The following is a 25,615-nucleotide window of genomic DNA, read 5'->3' on the forward strand; positions in this document are numbered from 1 at the left end:
CTATAAGAAAAAGGAAAAAAGTTTTACATGGCAAAATTTCCCATAAGCCAAGTCAAAAAGCCAACAAGCTAGGGTGTGGTGGTGTGCACCTGTAGTTCCAGCTACTTGGGAGGCTGAGGCAGAATGATTACTTGAGCCTAGGAATTCCAGGCTATAGTGGACTATGACTGAGTCACTGCACTTCTGCTGGAGAACAAAGCAACACTCTATCTCTTAAAAATAAAATAAGGCCCAGCGCGGTGGCTCATGCCTGTAATCCCAGCACTTTGGGAGGCCGAGGGTGGGGCAGATCACCTGAGGTCATGAGTTTGAGACCAGCCTGACCAACATGGGGAAACCCCGTCTCTACTAAAAATACAAAATTAGCCAGGTGTAGCGCACATGCCTGTAATCCCAGCTACTCAGTAGGCTGAGGCAGGAGAATCACTTGAACCAGGGAGGCGGAGATTACGGTGAGCTGAGATCACGCCATTGCACTCCAGCCTGGGCAACAAGAGCAAAACTCCGTCTCAAAAAATAAATTAAATAAATAAACAAATAGCAAATGACAAATAGAGAAAAATATTCATAATTCATGTCACAAAAGACTGATTTCATGAACATCCCACAGATCAATAAGACTAATAATTCAAATAAAAGAAAGCACAAATGACTCTTAAATTACATGACAAGATGCTCACTCATAAGAGAAATTCAAATTAGAAATACCACACTCAGGTTTCCAACAACCACAAAGCTCAAAAACATACTTTTTTTTTTTTTTTTGAGATAGGGTCTCACTGTCATCCAGGCTGGAGCGTAGTGGTGCAATCATGGTTCACTGCAGCCTCCATTCTCCGGGCTCAAGTGATCCTCCCACCTCAGCCCCCAGAGTAGCTGGACTACAGGCGTGCACCACCTTGCCCAGCTAATTTTTTTGTTTCTTTGTAGAGATGAGGTCTCGCCACGCTGCCCAGGCTGGTCTCGAACTCCTAGGCTCATGCAATCCACCCACCTCAGCATCCCAAAGTGCTGGGATTGCAGGCATGAGCCATCTTCCCTGGCCAACATACTGTTTTTGTAAAGTAAAAGACTTTACTGTTGGTAAAGATGTGGGAACATAAATAGGTTGCAATCTCTACGAGACAGCAGTCAAAATTGTGAATGCAAATACCCTTCTGACTGAGCAATGCCACTGCTAGAAGTTTATCCTACAGATAAGTTTAGCTTATGTACAAAATTACCTAAGTACAAGGTCACTCATTTACTCCAACATTATTTGTTTTGTTTTGAGAGAGCGGGTCTTGCTTGTCGCTCAGGCTACAGTGCAGTGGTGTGATCACAGTTCACTGAAGCCTCAAGCTCCTGGGCTCAAGTGATCATCTCACGTCAGCTTCCCAAGTAGCTGGGACTACAGACACGTGCCTCCATGACCAGCTAAAATATTACAGCAGGTTTTTTTTTTTTTTTTTTTTTTTTTGGAAGACAGGGTCTCACTCTATCACCCGGGCTGGAGTGCCAGGGGTGCAATCATAGCTCCACTTCCTGAGCTCAGGTGCTCCTTCGTCTGATTCCCAAGCAGCTGGGACTACAGTGCACAGCATCATGCCCAGCTAATTTTTTGTAGAGATGGGGTTTTGCCATTTTGCCCAGGGAGGTCCTGGGCTCAAGCGATCTGCCCACCTTGGCCTCTAATGGTGCTGAGATTACAGGCGTGAGCCACTGCACCCGGCCTTCAGCATTATTTGTAATGGTCATGAGACTGGGAAAAAACTTTATGTCCATCAGTGGGAGATTTGATAAAATAAATTAAGGCACACCTAGAGAATACTCTAAGAAAAAGGGCATTTTTAAAAAATGCTATAAAAATAATCACTTTCACACCAATATAAACAGATCTCCAAGTTGTACTAAGCAGAAAAAGGGAAGGTGTGGAGTAGTGCATATATTAAATACCAGTGAGTTAAACTGTTTTATGTGGGAAGAAGAACATCTATGCGTATCAGTTTTTAAATGCTAAGATGTCTCTAGAAGCTTACATAAGAAACTAAAAACACTTGCCTAGGGTAGGGAATTGGCTGACTAGAGAAAAGGTGTATAATTAAATTTTATTTATTTATTTATTTTGAGACAGAGTCTAGCTCTGTCACCAAGGCTGGAGTGCAATGGCGTGATCTGGGCTCACTGCAACCTTCATCTCCTGGGATCAAGCGATTCTCTTGCCTCAGCCTCCCAAGTAGCTGGGACTACAGGCATGTGCCACCACACCCTGCTAATTTTTCTATTTTTAGTAGGGACAGTGTTTTGCCATGTTGGCCAGGCTGGTCTCAAACTCCTGGCCTGAAGTGATCCACCTACCTCGGCCTCCCAAAGTGCTGGGATTACAGGTGTGAGCCACCACAGCCAGCCATCATTAAATTTTAAATTAAAAACAACAACAAAAAGGCAGTGGCTCATGCTCATAATCCCACTGCTTTAGAAGGCTGAGGCAGAAGGATTGCTTGAAGCCCGGGGTTCAAGACCAGCCTGAAAAACATAATGAGACTCTGTGTCTACAATAAAATAAAATAAATTAGCCAGGGTGGTGTGCACACCTGTAGTCCCAGCTACTGGGGACACTGAGATGGAAGCATCACTTGAGCCCAAAAGTTTAAGGCTACAGTGAGCCAAGATCTTGCCACTGCACTCCAGCCTGGGTGACAGAGCAAGAGCTTGTATGTTAAAAACACAAAACAAAACAAAGAAACAAAAAAACAATGAGATGGGGCTGGAGGAGAAGCTGACGGTATGGTGTGAAAATTCCAATTTTCTAACATATCCCACTAAACTCCTCAGTAGTACTTGTACATACACCTGTCAGAACCTCTGTTTCTGTTCAAATTTAGGCTCCTGGGTTTCAACTTCATACAGAAATAAAAGTATGACTCAAAAAGAAGGGTTGTATCTTACTAAGGTTTCTAGTCACCACAGCACTGAACAATGCCTGGTATCTAGGAGGATCTGCATCTTTGGTTACCTCAGCAAACACTGTGGGAATCTATATATTTATCAACTCTTAACTATACACCTGGCACTGTGATGGTTATGAGGAAAAACCGGCGAAGACCTGGTCGGCCAAATAACTCCAAATGAAGACTCAATATTGAAATGAAGTCACCAAGATGTCCAAAGGGACTGTTGCCATACAAAAGCTTGATAGAACAGGATTCCCAGAAATGTTTCTAAAGTACATTATTATATTTTATCTAATATAAAGAAATATCTGCTTATAAACTTCATCATTTCATATACCATTAAGAGAGAAAAACACCCAAGATATGAGACTAATAGGAAACCGGCATAAAGCTGAAGGTAAATGAAAAATAAGCCTTCCATATGGAAGGGCGAACAAGGAGACTTGTAGGTTTCATTCTTGACACTGAGTGGGAAACAAAAAAAATCCCCTGAGCACTGGTAACAAGCCACCACCAGTGTGGTCCAAAACCCTCAAACAGAGAACGCCAAGTGGTCACAGGCTGGCAGTATACCCAGGTGACCAGCACAAGCAAACATGAATTCTCTCTGGAAAAACACAGGAAATATGGCATTTGTAATCTGTATGAGAAAATTTAGGCATGAAGCTTTACACTCTCTTCCAAACACTAAAAACATTCTTAAAATTTCTCATGGCTCATTTTCCAGTAATATTTTCTACGACTCTGTAAATTATATTATGGCTTAAAGAAAAACGTGACAAATCTAAAGGCTCTCAAATACAGAAGCAAACAGTCAATCATGCTCTATTATCCAAATATATTAATAAAATCTATGCAATTGTTAAGAAATGGTCTCACTTTTTAGCCAAAAAGGAAGAAAGTTTAAGGTGACTCCCTTTCTCTAATTATAAACTTACTTTATTGCTGCCAACTTTTTGGATAGCGTTCCCTCTGCTGGAATCTTTCAAGAGAAAAAAAAAAGTATTAAAGACAGTATTTGAAGTATTACCTCAAATTAATATTTTAAGTGAAGTCTAAGTATCTAACTCCAGTACACTGTGATCAAAAACATTCTAGGGAAATAAACAAATCAGAAACAACTGTCCTAATTTTTTTTTTTTTTTCCTGTTGAGATGGAGTCTCACACTGTCACCCAGGCTGGAGTGCAGTGGCATGATGTCGGCTCATTGCAAGCTCCACCTGCTGGGTTCACAACATTCTCCTGCCTCAGCCTCCTGAGTAGCTGGGACTACAGGCGCCCGCCACCACGCCCGGCTAATTTTTTGTATTTTTAGTAGAGATGCGGTTTCATCAGGTTAGCCAGGATGGTCTCGATCTCCTGACCTCGTGATCCGCCCACCTTGGCCTCCCAAAGTGCTGGGATTACAAACATGAGCCACCACGGCTGGCCAATCATCTTAATGCTATATGAAACGAAGCTCGTGGCTTAGGATAAGTTTTTCCAATGAAACCATCATGCTCAGATTTAACAGGCAGGGACTCAAAAACCCAGACAGAAGTTAAGATACCGGGCTCTCAAATTGCATCAGATGACTCCTACAGGGAGGACTCCAGGAAGAGACACCGACGATGAAAGACACATGAAAAATGTAAGGAAAAGGCCGGGCGCGGTGGCTCACACCTGTAATCCCAGCACTTTGGGAGGCCAAGGCGGGCGGATCACGAGGTCAGGAGGTTGAGACCATCCTGGCTAACACGGTGAAACCCCATCTCTACTAGAAATACAAAAAAATTAGCCAGACGTGGTGGCGGGCGCCTGTAGTCCCAGCTACTCAGGAGGCTGAGGCAGGAGAATGGCGTGAACCCGGGAGGCGGAGCTTGCAGTGAGCCCAGATGGCACCACTGCACTCCAGCCTGGGCGACAGAACGAGACTCCGTCTCAAAAAAAAAAAAAAAAAAAGGAAAAATGTTAAGGAAAAAGAAATGTTTATAAATTAACATTTTATCGTGTATTCTAATAAATTTTTAAATATGTCTAACTGAACTGATGAATAATATAAAAAGACATATCACCTGTATCTCTAAGAGTTTATATATTAGCCAAAAAAATGCATGGTGTCCATCATGCAGGTAAGGGAATCCCCTTTATATTCAGGTTCACTTTATTTCCAGTCATATATAGCCTCCTTTAAGAGTGGATGGGGCAGGTAGGGAAAACTTTATGGAAGAGGCAGAAATACACGTCAACAACTACAGCTGTCGACAACATGCCAAATGCAACCAGGTACTGAGAAGATCAAGGTGAAAAGATACCAACCCTGCAAGTTCACAATCTAGAACATAAATGCCATGTAGGGTAGTTATTATAAATCTTTTCTGGAAAACCTATTTTCTTTCTCAGTAACCTGATAGTTTACATAGTAAAACTATGAAATTTTAACTATTTCTTCTGTTTGCAGTTTATCTTGCTAAAATTGCTAACATAGTCAAACTCTCAAACCTCAAAAAAACAGTACAAGACACAGAAATGGCTAAATGAATAATCAACATGTGAATGACATCATCAAAACACATTTATTGGGTGCCTTCTGTACAGCGTCTACGTCCCGTTATTTGTTTGGTTTTGTTTTATTTTGTTTGTTTTTGAGACAGAATCTCGCTTTGTCGCCCAGGCTGGAGTGCAGTGGCACAATCTCGGCTCACTGCAACTTCCGCCTCTCAGGTTCAAGCGATTCTCCCATCTCAGCCTCCCGAGTAGCTGGGATTACAGGCCCCCGCCACCATGCCCAGCTAGTTTTCGTATTTTTAGTAGAAACGTAGTTTTGCCATGTTGGCCAGGCTGGTCTCGAACTTCTGAACTCAAGTGATCTGCCTTGGCCTCCCAAAGTGCTGGGTTACAGGCATCAACCACTGCACCCGGCCTACATCCTGTCATTAAAGATATTAATACATAAGTACAACATAAGGCAATAAAGTACAGGAATAATGCAGAGGAAAAAATATCACTTAATGATATAAAGTATCGGAAAAGCTTTGAAGAAGGGACATTTTTAGCCACATACTGAAAAATACTTTCATAGGCAAAAATGGTACTTTAAGGAAGGATTCCAGGCAAAACAAATGGACTGGCAAAGGGACAAAGGTGAGAAAACCCACGTGTAGAGGAACACAGGAGAGGCAGGGCCACACTGGAGAACTGCCAAGCTAAGAATTAAGGATGTATTTCACTGACAGAATAATTAACACAATGTACAGGTGCTGGTAACCCAAGAAGAAGTAAGACAGAGTATTTGTAACCACAGCTTACAGTCTGGTGGAGGAGGCAAACGACAATTTCAGTAGAGTGTACTAAGTACTGTAATGAGGGATGGGTGCTGTCAAATGCATAGCAGGGACACACTGGTAGCCTAGAGACTGGGGAGAATCAAGGTAGGCTCCCCAAAGGGGAGAAGGCAATAGCAGGCCCCGTGAGGGGTGTGTGTGTGGCGGCTGGGGGGATGGGGGGAAGGGCGTTTCATTAATGCAAGGCAGGGAAAGAGGTAAGGGTTCCGGGAAGAAGAGCTTCAGGAAGACTGAGTTCACAGTGTTTTGTTGGACAAATTAGAGGAAGACTGAAGGTAAGGAACTACAATAGGCCTCTGCGACTATTCTGACAGGAGGTAATGAGAACTTAGGTAGGACAAGGAAAAAAGAAAGGAATGACTCATATTAGGAAGAAATCACAGTTGAAAAACGGACAGGAGTGGCAAACACTAGCATGGGTGAGCCAATGAAGAGTCAAAGGCAACCACAAAACCTGCAGCCTGGGTGCCACTAAATACCACAGAAAAATCAGTAGGCAGCATAGGGTTGGGGTGAGAATGGATGGAAGTAAGCAGATATATTGAAATCAGGGTCTGGCAAGACACCCACACTAATGCATCAGCCAAAGGTCTAATACAGGGAAATGGAACTCAGAAGGGCAGACAAAAGATATGTGATAAGAGTGGGAAATAAATACCCTGACAGAAATTATGGGCACTGTCAAAGCTTTGGGTAACGTCTACTTCTATAGAAGTGGGCAGTTGTGCCTCCTCTAACATTTGGCAATTCCTGAAGATATTTTCCATTGTGAAAACTGAGGTGCAGGAGGTGCTACCAGCATCTAGTGGGTAAAGACCATGGATGTTACTAAACATCCTATAATACAAAGGGCAGCCTCCAACAACAAAGAATTATCCAGCCCAAAATGTCAACTGTATGGAGGTTGAGAAACTCTATTCCAGAGAATCACATGAGAAAGAGCAATTAGAAACATGAAAAAGGCTAAGTGCAGTGACTCACACCTGTAATCCCAGCACTTTGGGAGGCTGAGGCAGGCGAATCACCTGAGGTCACGAGTTTGAGACCAGTCTGGATAACATGGTGAAACCCTGTCCGGACTAAAAATACAAAAATTAGCCGGGCATGGTAGCGCACACCTGTAATCCCAGCTACTTGGGAGGCTGAGGCATGAGAATTGCTTGAACCCAGGAGGCGAAGGGTGCAGTGAGCTGAGATCGCACCACTGCACTCCAGCCTGGGTGAGACACAGCGAGACTCTGTCTCAAAAAAAAAAATAGAATAAACATTTCCTATATTCTAATATACATTAATTATGTAATAGTGCCCAAAAATGTACACTATGGTACGTCAACTAACTATGCCTATGCAGTTAAAAAAAAAAATCATGTATGGGAAAACCAAATATAAATGATACTTATTTCCTGCTCCAAAGAATGTGGCTATAACTGGTTCAGAGTGCTGAGCTGGTAAAATCCAACTCACTTCTATAAAGTTTTAATATTAAATTGACATAAATTCTTTATCTGTCTGTGCTCAGAGAACAAAGACTGTTTGCAGCAATCATACCCACCTCCCATACTAATGTGTATGATGGGACATAGGAAGAGAATGCCTAGGATTCCAGCAATGATAATCAGTATTAACTTTTCAGTCTATTCTGCTGACACAGTAAATAAGTCACCCATCCACCCTCCAAAGTACATTGCAGGCTTTCATAGCAAGAGTATCATTTTATTAAGTAAACTCAATACATTATTTAAAAAGTTCAAGAGTCAGCAGTAGATAGTAAGAGCAACTCTTTTCTTGGGTTAAATTTGAACCTATTGATTCAAAAGGTTAAAGTGCTTCACCATCTCACTAACAGCAATAAGTTCATCTGATTTAAATGCAATAAATTTTAATATTATGTAATTTTACGGGGGAATGAAACATACCAGAGAACGAAATCGTACAGATTCTATTTGTCCATACTCTTTAAAAAACGACTTCAGCTTCTAAAATTAAAAAAAAAAATACACATTAGCTGACCTTCAGAACATCAAATAAGTGCTACAAAAAGGAATTAAGAAAAATTGTCTGATAATCCTCTACTGCCAGGCTTTTTTTTTTTTTTTTGAGACAGAGTCTTGCACTTTCGCCCAGGCTGGAGTGCAGTGGTGTGATCTCAGCTCACTGCAACCTCCGCCCCCACGGCTTCAAGTGATTCTCATACCTCAGCCTCCCAAGTAGCTGGGATTACAGGCGCCCGCCACCATGCTCAGCTAATTTTCGTATTTTTAGTAGAGACGGGGTTTCGCCATGTTGGCCAGTCTGGTCTCAAACTCCTGACCTCAGGTGATGCAACCACATCAGCCTCTTCAAGTGCTGGGATTACAGGCATGAGCCACCGCACCCGGCCTACTGCCAGTTTTTAAGAACATTTCAGGAAAGTAGGTGACTATTCAGTTGGATGAACAAAAAAATTTTACTGAAACTTGTGAGACTCTGTCTCAAAAAAAAAAAAAGAAAACACAATTCAAGCTCCTATTAGTATCCATCGGATGTATGCTTTTCTTTCAATCTTTTATAACCTTTATCACATGTAAATTAAGGATAGACTTATAACTTCCATAGATTCTCTCATGTTTTCACATTGGTTTAAACCAGGAATAAACTTTTTTTTTTTTTTTTGAGACAGAGTCTCACTCACTGTCACCCAGGCTGGAGTGCGGTGGCACGATCTTGGCTTCTGCAACCTCCCCCTCCTGGGTTCAAGCAATTCTCCTGCCTTAGCCTTCAAAGTAGCTGGGATTACAGGCATGTGTCACCACACCCAGCTAATTTTTGGGACTTTTAGTAGAGAAGCGGTTTCACCATGTTGGCCAAGCTGGTCTCGAACTCCCGACCTCAGGGGATCCGCCCGCCTTGGCCTTCCAGAGTGCTGGGATTACAGGTGTGGGCCACCACGCCTGGCCTCAAAAAGGTTTTTCTACTGTTTTTAATCAAGTAGAGTTTAAACTGTCCTTCAAAATATGAGCAGGATACCGAGCTAAGGATTGCAACAGTTACTATCACATGAACATGCAGAAGCAAAGGGCAGGTTTTGCTTCAGTGATCGTCACACAACGGAAGAAACTCAGGACATCTTCATTCTTTAAACAACACATATTTACTATGCACAAGGCACCATTTCAGGTGTCAAGAGACAGAACGAGGCTGGGTGCGGTTGCTCATGCCTGTAATCCCAGCACTTTGGGAGGCCGAGGCGGACGGATCACAAGGTCAGGAAATCGAGACCATCCTGGCTAGCACAGTGAAACCCCGTCTCTACTAAAAATACAAAAAATTAGCTGGGCGTGGTGGCGGGCGCTTGTAGTCCCAGCTACTCAGGAGGCTGAGGCAGGAGAAGGGTGTGAACCCAGGAGGCGGAGCTTGCAGTGAACAGAGATCGCGCCACTGCACTCCAGCCTGGGCAACAGAGCGAGACTCTGTCTCAAAAAAAAAAAAAGAGAGAGAGAGACAGAATGATGAAAAAAGAGGATCAGGCCCAGTGGCTCATGCTTGAAGTCCCAGCACCTTGGGAGGCTAAGGAGGGCAGATCACTTAAGCCCAGGAGTTTGAGACCAGCCTGGGCAACATAGTCACAAAAAAAAAAACACAAAAATTAGCCAGGCACGGTGGCGTGCGCCTGTAGTCCCAGCTACTCAGGAGGCTGAGGCAGTAAGATCACTTGAGTCCAGGAGTTTGAGGCTGCAGTGAGCAATGATCATGCCACTACACTCCAGCCTAGGTGACAGTGAGAACCTGTCCTGAAAAAGAAAAGAAAAAGGAAAGACATCTTTAAACATATGGAGCTTACTTTCTAGTGGCATATAACAGGAGACAAGGCTGAAAGAAAGAAACCAGGCAGGAGGTCACTGCAATATTCAAATATAATCTGCAAAAGCCTGAATTGGCAGGGACTACAGGAATGAAAAGGAGGGGGTGGATACTGGAATCCATTCATATTAGGATGATTTATGTAATAATTTACAATGAAGTTATATCCATGACTTACTATTGAATGCTTATTCAACACAGGAAGAACAAAGTTATTAACTTCTCTGAACTTTTACCATATACAAACTCACCTTCTTATTACATGTAACAGGCAAATTCCCAACAAACACAGTTCTCTCATTCTTTAATCTCTCTTCTTCTTGGTTGATTTGAATTTTCTTTCTTTGACTGACAACTGTGTCTTCTGTGTCATCAAGTATTTTTCTATCTGCTACTTTAACACCAGGTTGAGAATTTTTCCTTTTCTGCCCTTGTTTCTGGTGAATTTCTTCTTCTAAATCAGCACTCGCTAGAGCGCTTTCCCTTTTTAAGGCAAAAAATAAAATAAGCAGTAAGAGTCATGCCAGTTAGGTCTAGTATTTGACAAAGCACAGCCCTACCCTCCCGACTAGAAATATTTCCCAATGTCTTCTGAATTTTCCTAGATTTACTACTCACAAATATATCAAAATTTTTAGAGCAGCGCTATCTAGAAACTGACTAGTATCTTTAGAAAAAAAATGATTTAACTCAAGATTTAGAAAAAGTTAAGCTCTTTTTTTTTTTCTTTGAGACAGGGTCTTGCTCTGTCACCCAGGCTGGAGTGTAGCAGCGTAATCACAGCTCACTGCAGCCTCAACCTCCCAGGCTCAGGCAATCCTCCCACCTCAGCCTCCCAAGTAACTGGGACCACAGGCGCATGCCCCCACACGTGGCTTTTTTTTTTTTTTTTTGAGACGGAGTTTTGCTCTGTCACCCAGGCTGGAGTGCAATAGTGCAATTTCGGCTCACTGCAACTTCTGCCTCTCGGGTTCAAGCGATTTTCCTGCCACAGCCTCCCAAGTAGCTGGGATTACAGGTGGCTGCCATCATGCCAGGCTAATTTTTGTATTTTTAGTAAAGACGGGGTTTCACCATGTTGGCCAGGCTAGTCTTGAACTCCTGACCTCAAGTTATCTGCCCACCTTGGCCTCCCAAAGTGCTGGGACTAAAGGTGTGAGCCACCATGTCCAGTCTTTTATACATACATATACATATATATATATATATATATATATATATATATATATATATATATACATATATACTTTTTTTTTTTGAGACAGAGTCTAGCTCTGTCTCCCAGACTGGAGTATAGTGGCGCAATCTCGGCTCACTGCAACCTCCGCCTCTCTGGTTCACAACGATTCTTTTGCCTCAGCCTCCCAAGTAGCTGGGATTACAGGCACCTGCCACCAAGCCCAGCTAATTTTTTTTTTTTAGCAGAGACGAGGTTTCACTGTGTTGGCCAGGCTGGTCTCGAACTCCTGACCTCTTGCTCCGCCCGCCTCAGCCTCCCAAAGTGTTGTGATTACAGGCATGAGCCACCGCGCCCAGTCTCCTTTTATATTTTTTTGTAGAGACAGGGTTTTGCTATGTTGCCCAGGCTGGTCTTGAACTCCTAAGCTCAAGCCATTCGCCCACCTCAGCCTCCCAAAGTGCTAGGGTTACAGGCGTGAACCACTGCACCTGGCAAGAATAAGTGAAGCTCAATTTTTGAACACGTTAAATCTGCCATGCAACAGCAGCAGCAAGTTCATCTATACAAAAGCTGATTCACTTAAAGCTCTTGGAGATTTAGTTTACACTCTATCAATGCCTGATTTCATTTTCTACTCTAGACCTTTAGGGGCACTATCACACTCCCTGAGAGTCTAAAAAGGTTAATATGGCAGCAGAGTACTTACTCTGTACAAGCAATATGGCTGATAGGAAAAACCAGATTCCCTACTTCTAATACTTCTGTAATATTTAAAGGACTCTTACCAAAAGTAAATTGTGAAACGGTAAATACAATATAAAGTATTGCTGGATATGGATAAGCAAGGTCTGAGCATCAATCTGAAAGGAGAACTAAAGGATATTAAGGAGTGAGGGAAGAGAAGAGCTAATAAGAATCATAAAAATGACTCACTCATCAGCAAATACTTACCGGGTTCCTACTCAGTTCTAGGCTCTGAGGATACAAAGATAAAGAAACAATCAAAGGCCTCCAACAGTGCAGTGAAGAGACAGACCAAGTTCACAATAAAATGGTAACAGCTATAATACATGGTATGCAAACATAAACGAGAAAGGCTTCTCAGAGGAGGAAATCAGTGTCTGGCACATAGTCCAATAAAAGCTGACTGCTATTACTCCTCCCCTGAGGACAGGGTCCATGTCTAGTGTTTTGCTCACTACAGTATATAAAGTACCTAGCAGGTGTGAAAGGAAACGAGACAGTACAGTAAGGTGGGAACCAGGTCAGGAGAGACCTTCAGTGTTACACGAAAGTGCTTAGATTTTATCCTACTGAAGATGAGGAGACACTGAAGACTTTGAGAGCATCTAAAAAAGATCATCTGGGCAGAAGAGTGGAAGATAATTAGAAAGAGGATAAGGTTGGAGAAGGGAGACCAGTAAGGAGATGGTTACAACAGTGTGTATCTGAGAAGACTGACCAGACTGACCAGAGCAGGGAAGGAGGTGAAGACGAAAAGGCAGATTAAAGAGATAATTAAAAAACAGCATCATCAGGACTCGGCAACTGATTAGCTAAGCAAGGAGAGGAAAGAAGACAGGATGACTCTCGGGCCACTAACTTAGGCAACTAGAAGGCTAGTGGTAGCGCTCATGCCAAGGAACAGGACTGATGAGAATGATGAGCTCCCAGTGGAGCATTCTTACCTGGTGGTACATATGGAATAAAGAGGTGCAAATGCCAGGAGGCAAACAAACATACATGTCTGGAGATCAGGAGAGAGATCACGGTGGGCACAAGAGATACTGCCCCCAACAAAGGGTGACAAAGGGTCACAAGAACATGACCAAGAATGAGACCCCTGAGGGAAATGCACATTTAAAGAGTAGTCAGAGGAAAAGATACCACAGTAACACTAAGAAAGAATTGGCAAGAGGACAATCAGAAGAGATTTCTCTCAGAGAATCCGGTAGCTTCAACAAGAAAAGCAGCCACGTGAAAGGTAACAGAGGACTCATAAGACAAAAGCTGCACTGCCCATTACATATGAGAGGTCAGGGTGGCCTCAGTGGGCACTGCTTCAGTGGCACAGTCAGGACGGAGAATAAAACCCACCACCACCAGAATCCAAGTGCGTGGAAGGGTGAACAGATCAAGAGAAGGGAGAGAGTACAAGAACAGACTACTTTTCTTAAAAGCTAGACTGAAGGGAAGGACTGTGGGAATGGTAGCAAACAGAGACATGCAATTACATGGGTTTTTTTTTTTGGCGGTTAGGGGGAATGTCCTTTTTAAAGATTAGAATCGTGAGCACGTCTATATTAGCAGAAAGAGGGATAAGGGCCAGGCGCGGTGGCTCACGCCTGTAATCCCAGCACTTTGGGAGGCCAAGGCGGGTGGATCACCTGAGGTCAGGAGTTCAAGGCCAGCCTGGCCAACATGGTGAAACCCCATCTCTACCAAAAAAATACAAAAATTAGCTGGGTGTGGTGGTGGGCGCCTGTAATCCCAGCTACTCAGGAGGCTGAGGCAGGAGAATCGCTTGAACCCAGAGGCGGAGGTTGCAGTGAGCAAAAATTGCACTGTTGCTCTCCAGCCTGGGCGACAACAGTGAAACGCCATCTCAAAACAAAAAAAAAAAACAAAAAAAAACGAGGGATAAGGGAAAGAGGCGAACGTGGATGGATCTGACGGCACAGTCCCTAAAAAGGCAGAACATATGTGGTACACACAGCACCCAGGTGGTTGAGTTAATCTTGGACAAGAGGGAAGACACTCTGCTCTAAGAAAGAGGGGAAGAAATATGGCTGTGTACAGATGCATTAAGTTTAAATAGGACAAAAAGTAGCAGTTCCCAACTGTCAGTGATTAACAGCTCCAGAACTGGTACAAAGGTCTTCAGTTGAAATGAGAAAAGGGAAAAGGAAATAAGGGGCTTGAGGAGAGTGGCAAAGAAGAGAGGAATGAAGACTGTTAGCTAGGTACACGTGATGGGATCACTATTTGCATCTTGATTCAAATACACTGTTAAACAACGTTATGCTGGCCGGGCATGGTGGGTCATGCCTGTAATCCTAGCACTTGGGGAGACGGAGGTAGGAGGATGGTTTGAGCCCAGGAGTTCAGGACTAGCCTGGGCAACATAGCAAGACCCTGTTTCTATTTTTTTACTAAAAAAAAAAAAAAAATGCTGACTGGATCACTTGAGTCCAGCAGTTTGCGACCAGCCTGGGCAACATGGCAAAATCCCGTCTCTACAAAACATACAAAAATTAGCTGGGCATGGTGGGGCATGCCTATAGTCTAAGCAACACAGGAGGCTGAGGTGGGCGGCTGGATTGAGTCTGGGAAGCAAAGATTGCAGTGAGCCGCAATCGCACCACTGCACTCCAACCTGGGTGACAGAGCCAGACCTTGTCTCAAAAAAAAAAAAAAAAAGTTAATGAGGGAAATGAATAAATTTAAGAACACCAAACTCGGCCAGGTGTGATGGCTCACGTATGTAATCCCAGCACCTTGGGAGGCGGAGGCAAGTGGATCATGAGGTCAAGAGTTCGAGACCAGACTGGTCAATATGGTGACACCCCGTCTCTACTAAGAATACAAAAATCAGCTGGGTGTGATGGCGCGCCCATAGTCCCAGCTGCTCAGTAGGCTGAGGCAGAAGAATCACTTGAACCCAGGAGGCGGAGGTTGCAGTGAGTCAAGATTGCGCCACTGCACTCCAGCCTTGGCGACAGAGTGAGACTCCAGCTCAAAAAAAAAAAAAAAAATTTTTTTTTTAAAAAGCAAACCAGGCCAGGTGCAGTGGCTCATGCCTATAATCCCTGCACTTTAGGAGGCTGAGGTGGGTGGATCACCTGAGGTCAGGAGTTCAAGACCAACCTGGCCAACATGATGAAACTCTGTCTCTACTAAAAACACAAAAAATTAACCGGGCATGGTGGCACCTGTAATCTCAGCTCCACGGGAGGCCTGAGGCAGGAAAAATCACTTAAACCCGGGAGGTGGAGGTTGCAGTGAGCTGAGATCAGGCCACTGCACTCCAGTCTGGACAAAAAGAGCAAAACTCCGTCTCAAAAAAAAAAAAAGAAACGCAAACCAAATTCTTTTATATACATGCTGAAATATTTATAGATGAAACATAAATTTTCATTTTGCTTCCAAATAATGAGGTGGTAGCTGGGCGAGGTGGCTCACACCTGTAATCTCAACACTTTCGGAGGCCGAGGTGGGCAGATCGCTTGAGGTCAGGAGTTCCAGACCTGCCTGGCCAACATGGTGAAACCCTGTCTCCACTAAAAATACAAAAATTAGCTGGGCATGGTGACGCAGGCCTGTAGTCCCACCTACTCAGGGCCGAGGCAGGAGAATCGCTTGAACCTGGGAAGCGGAGGTTGCAGTGAGCTGAGATCACTGCACTCTACTGCAGCCTGGGCGTGGCATCAAGACTCCATCTCAAAACAAACAAAAACAAATAATGAGGGGGTATATGAGTGGGGTAAAAATACAAAAAGGTTAGCCAAATATTAGTAATTGCTGATGCTGAGTACACGGGGTTTCTTAGCCTTTTCAACTTTTCTATATGTACTGGATTTTCCATAATAAAAGTTTTGAAAGAAAGTAGAAATATGAAATAAAACTGACGAATATTCCAAGTATAGGAATGTTAATTTACCATCTAATTTCTTTAACATCAAATAAGAGAATTTTACCAACCTGTCTGCCAACTTTTTTTCTGCGTTAGTGTGTTTCTTCTTCGCTTTCACTTTTTTGGCAGGTTCTTGCGAAAGTGGTCTTTCAATCTGGGATGTACTTTCTTCCTCCTCATTCCGTTTCGTTTTTTTGATGGTTTGCTTTTTAAAAGTTTGAAGTTATATTTGAGACCCCATACTTCTAGAATTCTGACCCTAAGCCATAATTCAGTCTTTCTAAATGAGAATCTCTTCTCTCTCACTGGTATGTAAGAGTCATGAAAGGTTACTTAAAATGAATCCTGTCTGCCCCCTTTAGAAATCACGCTTCACGCGGTAGGTAAGAAGATTGCTTTGTATGTAAGTGGTTCTAACGAGCTATTCGGGAAGAAAGCCCAGTGACTTACTTTAGGCACAGGCACGTACACGGGTTGAATCTGGGGCTCCAGAGAACTGAAGAGGGACGCCAGCCGACCGGTGCCACCTCTGGAATGGTGTTCGCCGCGAAATAAGCTACTGGCGACCTGTCCAAGCCTGTAGTCTTCCGGCGGACTCCCGCGAACGCCGTCGTCAGGATTCTCTCTAGAAATGGACGACAGAAACTCAGCCACGCCACGCACCACCGCTTCGCCAGCACGAGGGAACGTACAACATCCCTCCCCAGGTACTCGTGCCGCGCGCCACTCACCCCTCCTGGACACTTCTCTTTCTCTTCCGTTTGCTCATCCCTTCCAAGGCCATTCTTACTCCAAAGACTCCCAGACTGCAGCTGCGCGCCAGCTCGCACTTCCGGGTTCCGGGCACTTCCGCTCTCTGGCCACGCCCCCTCCCCTCCGGCAGTCGGCCGCCGGGCGGCGGCGAAGGGAGGCGCTGGGTGAGGGAGCAGGTTTGTCGCCGTCGGTTGGTGGTCCTCGCCGTTTCAGAAAAGCCTCATTTTGGGAGTGAAGGACGTCTTCTGGGAGTGGTTGAAGCCTGCAGTGTGAAGAATCAGCCAGGCTAGGAGCGGGGTGTCCACCCAAGCCGAGAGAGAAACACGTAGAATACTGACTTGTTGAAAAGGAGGGAGGGAGGTTTGGCAAGAAATGCGGTTAGGGGTGAACGCAGTGGGGTGTTTACAATTTGCTAATCGCTGTGAAGAGTACAAAGGAATTCTTTGTACTCTTCTTGCAACTTGTCTGAAACATGACATTATTCCAAAATAAAAACCACAACTCTAACGAGTCACGTCAACATACAATTCGAAAGATTGTAATGCGGACCTGCTATTCTACCTGGAAAAGTAGATACTTGGCATTCAAAACGCTTCAAGGTGTTCTCAGCCCGTCTTCCCAGACTCATCTCCCTCCAGCCCCTGACATTCTAGCCTGCTTTCTCCACTGCCTCTACAGTTGTTATTCCTGTCCCCTCTGTTGTAATTGCCCTCCTCTTTCCCCTTCTGCAAAATAATGTCCATCCTTCAAGGCCTACCTCAGATACTGTCTAACTTAGTATTTCTTTGCAGCCAGGTGCGGTGGCTCGCCTGTAATCCTAACACATTTGGAGGCCGAAGTGGGAGGATTGCGTGAGGACTAGGAGTTTGAACCAGCCTGGTCGATCTAGCGAGACTTATTCTCTACAGAAAAGAAATTAGACGGGCACCTTCGCGCTCGGCGCCTGTAGTCCCAGCACTTTGAGAGGCTCGGGCAAGAGGATCCCTTGAGCCCTGGAAGGTCGAGGCTGCAGTAAGCTGTGATCGCATCACTACACTCCAGCCTAAGCGGCAGACCCTGGCTCAAAAAAAAAAAAAAAAAAATTCTTTGCTATTTACAATAGGGATATTTTCCCAAGCCCCCATGGTACTTACTATAATCATTTTTGGTCTGCTTTAGTGTTAGTTACAGTCTCTTTAGATGTAAAGGCAAGACAGTAAGGATTATGTTTTATTCATCATGTATGCTGTGTCTCTATTAGCTGTACATAGTGAATATTTGTTAAATTGACTCTCAGGGTAATAAAAGATTACTAGTTAAATCATCCAATAGTTTGAGTGGCAAAATAGGATTTGACTTTGTTCTTATTTTCTTTCAGACAAGGTGTTGCTCTGTCACCCAGACTGGAGTGTAGTGGTGAGATCACGGCGCACTGCAGCCTTGACTTCCTGGGCTCAAGCCATCCTCCCACCACGGAGTAGCTGGAACTGCAAGCAGCAGCACCATGCCCAGCTAATTTTTTTTTTTTTTTTGGAGACAGAGTCTCGCTCTGTCGCCCAGGCTGGACTGCAGTGGCGCGATCTCAGCTCACTGCAACCTCCGCCTCCCGGGTTCAAGTGAGTCTCCTGCCTCAGCCTCCCAAGTAGCTGGGATTACAGGTGCATGCCACCATGCCCAGCTAATTTTTGTATTTTTTTAGTAGAGACCGGGTTTCACCATGTTAGCCAGGCTGGTCTCGAACCCCTGACCTTGTGATCCGCCCACCTCAGCCTCCCAAAGTGCTGGGAGTACAGGTGTGAGCCACCGCGCCTGGCCTTTTTTTTTTTTTTTTTTTTTAAATAGAGATTGGGGTTTCACTGTGTTTCCCAGGCCGGTCTTGAACTCCTGAGCTTGAGCAGTCCTCCTGCCTTGGCCTCCCAAAGGGTTGGAATTACAGGCGTGAGCCACTGCATCCAGCCAGGATTTGACTTTGAGTCTTTTGGGGACAGCCTAAGCTTTTTGAAAGCTACTCAACCAAGTTGACTGGGAATATATGTGACTTTTACTTCCCCCTTCAGAGAAATTTATGAAAAAAATCCACAATATTCAACTGCTCGGCCCTGGGTTTTGATTACTGGGCCCCTTATTTTGGTTTCCCATAATCTTGATCTTCTGGTATTTCACAAAGATGAAGAAAGCTTATCCATACATGCATGCGATACAACTCAAAAATCTGTTCTATCCAGTCCAGTGAAGAAATTATATTCTATATTTCTAGAATTATAGAATTCTATTCTGTGTATTTTTTGAGACGGAGTTTCACTCTTGTTGCCCAGGCTGGAGTGCAGTGGCACGATCTTGGCTCATTGCAACCTCCGCCTCCCAGGTTCAAGCGATTCTCCTGCCTCAGCCTCCCGAGTAGTTGGGATTACAGGCATGCACCACCATGCCTGGCTAATTTTATATTTTTAATAGAGACAGGGTTTCTCCATGTTGGTCGGGCTGGTCTCGAACTCCTGACCTCAGGTGATCCGCTCGCCTTGACCTCCCAACGTGCTGGGATTACAGGTATGACCCACTGTGCCCAGCTAGGTAGCAGATACTTATAGAAGAAAACAGACTGCGAAAGCAGCTGTGGTTGCAGATAGTTTTAAAATTATCTTCATTGCTGTTCAGTGCTGTTTTTAACCATTTAGAGATCACTTACTGCTTTGAGAGTTTTTTAAAATATGAGGACATGGTGGGACAAGGTGGCTCACGCCTATAATCCCAGCACTTTGGGAGACCAAGACGGAAGGAATGCAAGCCCAGGAGTTTCAGATCAGCGACTGCGCCATTTGCACTCCAGCCTGGGCAACAAGAGCGAAACTCCGTCTCAAAAAAACAAAAGGAGGCCGGGTGCGGTGGCTTACGCCTGTAATCCCAGCGCTTTGGGAGGCCGAGGTGGGTGGATCATCTGAGGTCAGAAGTTTGAGATCAGCCTGGCCAACATGGTGAAACCCCATCTCTACTAAAAATACAAAAATTAGCTAGGCATGGTGGCGGGCGCCTGTAATCCCAGCTAGTCGGGAGGCTGATGCAGGAGAACCACTTGAACCCGGGAGGCAGAGGTTGCAGTGAGCCAAGATGGCGCCATTATACTCCAGCCTGGGCGACAGAGCGAGATTCTGTCTAAAACAAAACAAAACAAACAAAAAAAAGAAATTAACAAGACCCCACTCTAAAGTTTTTTCAGTAGGAAAAAAAACGTTTTGGAGAACACCGTTAAGAAACGTATCATCTTGGGTGGGCGCGGTGGCTCATGCCTGTAATCCCAACACTTTGTGAGGTCAAGGCGGGCAGATTACGAGGTCAGGAGATCGAGACCATCCTGACTAACACGGTGAAACACCCCTCTCTACTAAAAATACAAAAAATTAGCTGGGTGCAGTGGCACGTGCCTGTAGTCCCAGCTACTCGGGAGGCTGAAGTAGGAGGATCACTTGAACCTGGGAGGCAGAAGTTGCAGTGAGCCAAGATTGCACCACTGCACTCCAGCCTGGGGCAACAGAGTGAGACTCCGTCTCAAAAAAAGAAAAAAAAGAAAAGAAAAACATACCATCTTAATATGTCAATTGTAAACTAACTTAGTAAAGTCTAGTTTAGGTGACCAGAAGTAGACATAGGTCAATTCTACTAATTCAATAAAATCCTCAAACCCTCTTAAGAAGGTAGGACGTAGAACAAGAAGGCAGGCGAGACAGAGAGGCACAAAGTCATAAATCTCGACTCCACCAAAATTTGGAATAATTCCCCTATTCAGCACTGTTTCTATAACATACTCAGTATGTGATATTAAGAGCTCCTCAAAAAACAGGGTTTCATGATTAGGTGGGATTGAAAACAGTAGGGTAAAGGAAGTTATTAGGCAGGTATCTCTTCACAGGCCTTCTCAAAGTTTTTAATATGCAAACACTGTGATTCTCTAAGAATGTGCTATACATAGATTTTCCAAAATATATTTGGTTATAAATTCCCAGAGCATTTCCAGGGACCAGTATTCTAGGAATTCATTTTGGGAAGCACCGTTCCACAGATTTAAAATATCATCCCTTAAACTAATTTTTGTGAAAATAAAGGGCCACCACAAAGATGCTTTAAAAAATATGTATTTAAGCTTTCTAGGCCTTAAAAAAGTTGATTTCCTTTCTCGTTTTTGTTTTTGTTTTTGTTTTTTTTTGAGACGGAGTTTCAATCTTGTTTCCCAGGCTGGAGTGCAATCTTGGCTCACTGCAACCTCCGCCTCCCAGGTTCAAGCGATTCTCCTGCCTCAGCCTCCCTAGTAGCTGGGATTACAGGCATGCGCCACCATGACCGGCTAATTTTGCATTTTTAGTAGAGACAGGGTTTCACCATGTTGGTCAGGCTGGTTTCGAACTCCTGACCTCAGGTGATCCACCCACCTCAACCTCCCAAAGTGCTGGGATTACAGGCATTAAGCCACCACGCCCGGCCTCTCTCTGTATTAAAGAAAGGTTTTCTTTTTTTTGAGGCGGAGTCTCGCTCTGTTGCCCAGGCTGGAGTGCAGTGGCACGATCTCGGCTTACTGCAAGCTCCGCCCCCCAGGTTCATGCCATTCTCCTGCCTCAACCTCTCGAGTAGCTGGGACTACAGGCGCCCACTACCACGCTTGGCTAATTTTTTTTTTGTATATTTAGTAGAGATACGGTTTCCCCATGTTGGCCAGGATGGTCTCGATCTCTTGACCTCGTGATCCGCCTGCCTCGGCCTCCCAAAGTGCTAGGATTACAGGCGTTGAGCCACTGCGCCCAGCCAAGAAAGGTTTTCTGTTGGTAGAAAGTCCAATAAGTGGGGCCAAAAAACTAGATTATAGATTTTTAGAAGTTTGCGGCAAAGCAGTGTTTCTCAACCCAGATGCATATTAATATCACTAGAGACCTTTAAAAATTAAAGATCAACATCCAGGTACTACCCCCAACCAATTAAATATAACTCCTTGGGAGTGGGGTGTGAGTACTGAATATACTTTTAACAATGTCCAGATGATTGCAATGTGCAATAGAACACACTGAAGTATAAAAGACCCGGAAAGGTCTAACTAAATTAAAAATTTTAAAAAGCCGCTGGTAATGGTTTCAAGTGTTAAATAAATTTTAAAAAAAACACTTAATTTTCAAATTTGGACAATTCTTCAAGTGATAAGAAAAATATTTAAATTCAGACTCAAGCAAAATAGTGTGTGCAAAGATAAAAGAATGCCTAGGCTGGGTGTGTTGGCTCCCGCCTGTAATCCCAGCACATTGGGAGGCCAAGGTGGGTGGATCACATGAGGTCAGGAGTTTGAGACCAGCCTGACCAGTACGGTGAAACCCCGTCTCTGCTAAAAATACAAAAATTAGCCAGGAGTGCTGGCAGATGTCTATAATCCCAGCTACTCGGAAGGCTGAAGCTGGAGAATTGCTTGAACCCGGGAGATAGAGGTTGCAGTGAGCTGGAGATTGCGCCACTGCACTCTAGCCTGGGTGACAGAGCAAGACTCCGTGTCCAAAAAAAAAAAAAAAAAAAAGAATGCCTAATACATTCCTTATCTGATTAATGGACTTTTAATTTTCATAGGTAGAATCTTCCTTTTTTTGTGTATCAATTAATCCCCTGTGATAATACGTGCTGGATATGTATGTTCCAGTCAGTCATCACATACAGAAATGAACTAAAATTACTAAATCTTTTAGAAACAAAAATCAAGGATTCACAAACTATGGCATTTTATTTCAGAGCCTTTGCTTACATTTGTACAATATATTACATAATTCTTCATTGTTTGCAGATCCTAATATATACTTTATAGCTTTTATTCTATAAGCTTTTTTCTTCAACATTTTGCTGTCAACAAATCTTTACAGTCCTGTACAAATTTGAATAACTTGAAACCATTTTCAACAAAATTAGTTACTGTAAGCACACACTACAAGACTGAAAATGCTTTTCTTAGAAAAGTTGAATGTAAAGGATTCTGACACGTTAGCATCTACAACAAAACGCATTGAAATTCCCACGTCGTATTGCCAGGAAACAAAGAAAACATGCCAGCCCCATCCAAAAAAAGTACACAGAACTACAATTAAAACAGTAAAACAGTCTGTACAATAAAGTACTGTGTATTAACAGTGCCAGATATTAAATAGCTTGAATGAACACATCCACAATATACAAATGTCTTACAAAGGTGAAGAATTAAATACAAGTGCCAAACAGAACAGAGATTGGAATCATACAACATAAAGTCAATACAAGTGAAAACAATTTTGCATTCATTTTGGATTTTATACAAGGCATTTAATTTTATAGGCCTACCACCCCCATTAGCTATTTATATTTAAAATAACCACCATCCTTTTGAGACAGTTCCTATCAACAATCTTGAACCATACTAATACATTACTTGTTCCTGAAGTCCTTTTGTTGTAGCTCATAATAAAATAAGCAATACAAATGAATTATCTGTATTTAAGGGAAAAGAAACATTTACAAGAAAACACAAAAATATAACTGTTATAATTCATTATGAATAAATATACACTTTGAACTGGCTAAGTACAATCTTTATACATTGTTTAAGATTTAATACAGTTTATTAGCCATTTTCTTTTTTCACACAATGTATATCAAAATTAAAAAAAAATACTGATTTATAGAAAAATGGCAAAGTACAGTAGTTCCATTCCAATTTGAAGGGCCATGAAAAGCCACTGCAAGACCTTTTAGCCTAATTCAAACCTGTAAACATGTTCAGTCTTTTTTAAAGAGAATCTTTAATATTTGGTTACCAGGATTGATGTCTAATATCCTGTTAACTGCAGGTTTTGAATTTATTACATGTGCTTGACTTATACAATTAAAGCCACCCTAAGGTGACTTGCTTTAAAAAACAATTACCTTGTACAAATGAAAATAGGTTCATATTTTTTCATAAATAAATGGAAAAATATCAAATGTTCCAGCTTTAACAAAATACAAGGGAATACATATACAGTAAGTTATCTTAACATGTTCTGACCCACCCCTTAACTATGCTTACTGTATTGTCTCTACAGGCAGTGAAAAGCCTCCATTTGCCACAGTGGAAGGCCTTCCAGTTACCAGACACACAATTCCCAGACAAGTTGGAAACAATTATTGCTTGAGGAAAAGCAGTTCATTGTACTTTTTCTTCATAAAAAAGTGCACTTAAGTGCCAAGTCAGCTTGTCAAGAAACAATTTTTAAATATAAAATAGTGCTTGTCTGATATTTTTTTGTGCCACTGTGCAGTATAAAAAAAAAGTGGCCCTCAACAGCCATTAAGTGCAAAGTGCTTTAGCAAGTCCTGCTGTCACCTGCACTCAACTGACATTCCATTTTGTGATGCGCTGGACATTGACGGTTCAGCTAAAGTTAACATAACAGCAGCTGTTATGGAACTGGATGAAGGTGAAGAGGAGGATGAGGATGTAGCAGCACCTAAGGAAAAGGGAGACCAAACCAAGAGCTTAATAAAAATTTATGTCTAACAATAGACAGAAAATACTAGTCCTCTGAACTAAAATTCCGCTATATTGTCCAAAATCATTTAGCTTACAACAACAGTGGTCAATTCTCACAGTTCTACGATGTGAAGAAAGGAAAAGCTAGTGTAGCTCAAGAAGCTAGACAGTGCCCAACTACAGAAGTAATGAAAAGGACAGACCAGGGAAGGCTCCTGCGTGGGTCAAAGAGGGAAAGAACTGTGCCTAGTCTACAAGACACAGAAATAAAATACAGAATACACTTTTTGTAACAGTGAAACAAGTATCAAAACAGGAAAAATCTGCAATCCATCCAAAAATCATTTGTCCCCTCCTAATCCCTCCATCTTTCTGTACTTAGGAGTTTTCTTGTACATGTAAATGGTGACAAGAGTGGGAGGCTTAATTGCTTCTTCAAGTTGGATCAAAACAGTGCATAGCTCAACTGTTGCATTCTCCGCCACTAGGTTTACAAAGCAAATAACACATTAGTTATTTTCATCAGAGGAAGTCTCTCACTGTTTCCTTTTTTCGTTTTTTTTTGTTTGTTTGTTTTTTGAGACAAAGTCTCGCTCTGTCTGTCGCCCAGGCTGGAGTGCAGTGGCTCGATCTTGGCTCACTAAAAGTTCTGCCTCCTGAGTTCACGCCATTCTCCTGCCTCAGCCCCCCCAGTAGCTGGGACTATAAGCGCCCGCCACCACGCCCGGCTAATTTTTTTGTATTTTTAGTAGAGATGGGGTTTCACCATGTTAGCCAGGATGGTCTCGATCTCCTGACCTCATGATCCGCCCATCTCAGCCTCCCAAAATGCCGGGATTACAGGTGTGAGCCACCGCGCCCAGCCTGTTTGTTTTTTTGAGACGGAGTCTCACTCTGTCGCCCAGGCTGGAGTGCAGTGGTGCGATCTCGGCTCACTGCAAGCTCCGCCTTCCAGGTTCACGCCATTCTCCTGCCTCAGCCTCCTTTTTTTTTTTTTTCCTTTGAGATGGGGGTCTTGCTCTGTTGCCCAGGCTGGACTGCAGCAGTGCAATCTCAGCTCACTGCAACCTTTGCCTCCTGGGTTCAAGCAATTTTCCTGTCTCAGCCTCCTGAGTATCTGGGATTACAGGCATGCGCCACCATGTCCGGCTAATGTTTCTATTTTTAGTAGAGATGGGGTTTCGTCATGTTGGCCAGTCTGGTCTCGAACTCCTGACCTCAGGTGATCTGCCTGCCTTGGCTTCCCTAAGTGCTGGAATTACAGGCGTGAGCAATTGCGCCCGGCCTCTCTGTTATAAATTAGTGTTCATAAATTAATATTTTTAAATACATGCACAGATTTAAAAAATTCATTCAGTACAGGGGTAATAGGATAGAAAAGCAAATCTCACTCTCATCCAGGAACCTCCTAATCACCCAAATTCCCTTCCCCATTGCTACCAGTTGATTCATATTCATTACAACTCTAGAAA

The 25,615-nt window shown here is 43.3% G+C and overlaps 2 protein-coding genes across 19 annotated transcripts in view, besides 4 other annotated features; both read right to left on the reverse strand.

The window, feature by feature from the left end:
- The window catches only part of RBM34 (RNA binding motif protein 34), a 30,068-nt gene extending 13,350 nt beyond the window's left edge, over positions 1-16,718 (reverse strand). For 2 of the 9 annotated variants that reach the window (NM_001346738.2, NM_015014.4), the window contains exons 1-6: positions 16,642-16,718; positions 16,361-16,535; positions 15,979-16,115; positions 10,349-10,580; positions 8,174-8,233; positions 3,872-3,915 (exon numbers count right to left, since the gene is read on the reverse strand). In NM_001346738.2, the coding sequence (NP_001333667.1) occupies positions 3,872-3,915; positions 8,174-8,233; positions 10,349-10,580; positions 15,979-16,115; positions 16,361-16,535; positions 16,642-16,694 (701 nt within the window). In that variant the 5' untranslated portion in view covers positions 16,695-16,718. The other 7 variants (NR_144491.2, NR_027762.3, XM_047449700.1 and 4 more) reach the window with 5 other exon arrangements.
- Positions 3,030-3,089: an enhancer, noted in NCBI's record as "active region_2795". NCBI's record gives its function as "activates an Ori minimal core promoter by ATAC-STARR-seq in GM12878 lymphoblastoid cells {active_cell/tissue: GM12878}" and the evidence as "EXISTENCE:reporter gene assay evidence [ECO:0000049][PMID:35858748]".
- Positions 15,081-15,685: an enhancer, noted in NCBI's record as "H3K4me1 hESC enhancer chr1:235322928-235323532 (GRCh37/hg19 assembly coordinates)". NCBI's record gives its function as "activates a minimal SCP1, AML or CMV promoter by ChIP-STARR-seq in primed H9 embryonic stem cells {active_cell/tissue: H9 hESC(primed)}" and the evidence as "EXISTENCE:reporter gene assay evidence [ECO:0000049][PMID:30033119]".
- Positions 15,972-17,171: an enhancer, noted in NCBI's record as "BRD4-independent group 4 enhancer chr1:235323819-235325018 (GRCh37/hg19 assembly coordinates)". NCBI's record gives its function as "activates an origin of replication core promoter dependent on BRD2, P300/CBP, MED14 and CDK7 cofactors, and independent of BRD4, by STARR-seq in HCT116 cells {active_cell/tissue: HCT116}" and the evidence as "EXISTENCE:reporter gene assay evidence [ECO:0000049][PMID:35650434]".
- Positions 16,873-17,052: an enhancer, noted in NCBI's record as "active region_2796". NCBI's record gives its function as "activates an Ori minimal core promoter by ATAC-STARR-seq in GM12878 lymphoblastoid cells {active_cell/tissue: GM12878}" and the evidence as "EXISTENCE:reporter gene assay evidence [ECO:0000049][PMID:35858748]".
- Positions 22,370-25,615, reverse strand: part of ARID4B (AT-rich interaction domain 4B) — a 161,278-nt gene continuing 158,032 nt past the window's right edge. For all 10 annotated transcript variants that reach the window (NR_135074.2, XM_024447626.2, XM_047422531.1 and 7 more), the window contains one exon: positions 22,370-24,120. Coding sequence is in view for 9 of the 10 variants with exons in the window: in XM_024447626.2 (XP_024303394.1) it covers positions 23,993-24,120 (128 nt within the window). In the remaining variant the exon portion in view is untranslated. The remainder of the gene's footprint in view (positions 24,121-25,615) is intronic.

Source organism: Homo sapiens, chromosome 1, assembly GCF_000001405.40.
Source record: "Homo sapiens chromosome 1, GRCh38.p14 Primary Assembly".
Lineage (NCBI taxonomy): Eukaryota > Metazoa > Chordata > Mammalia > Primates > Hominidae > Homo > Homo sapiens.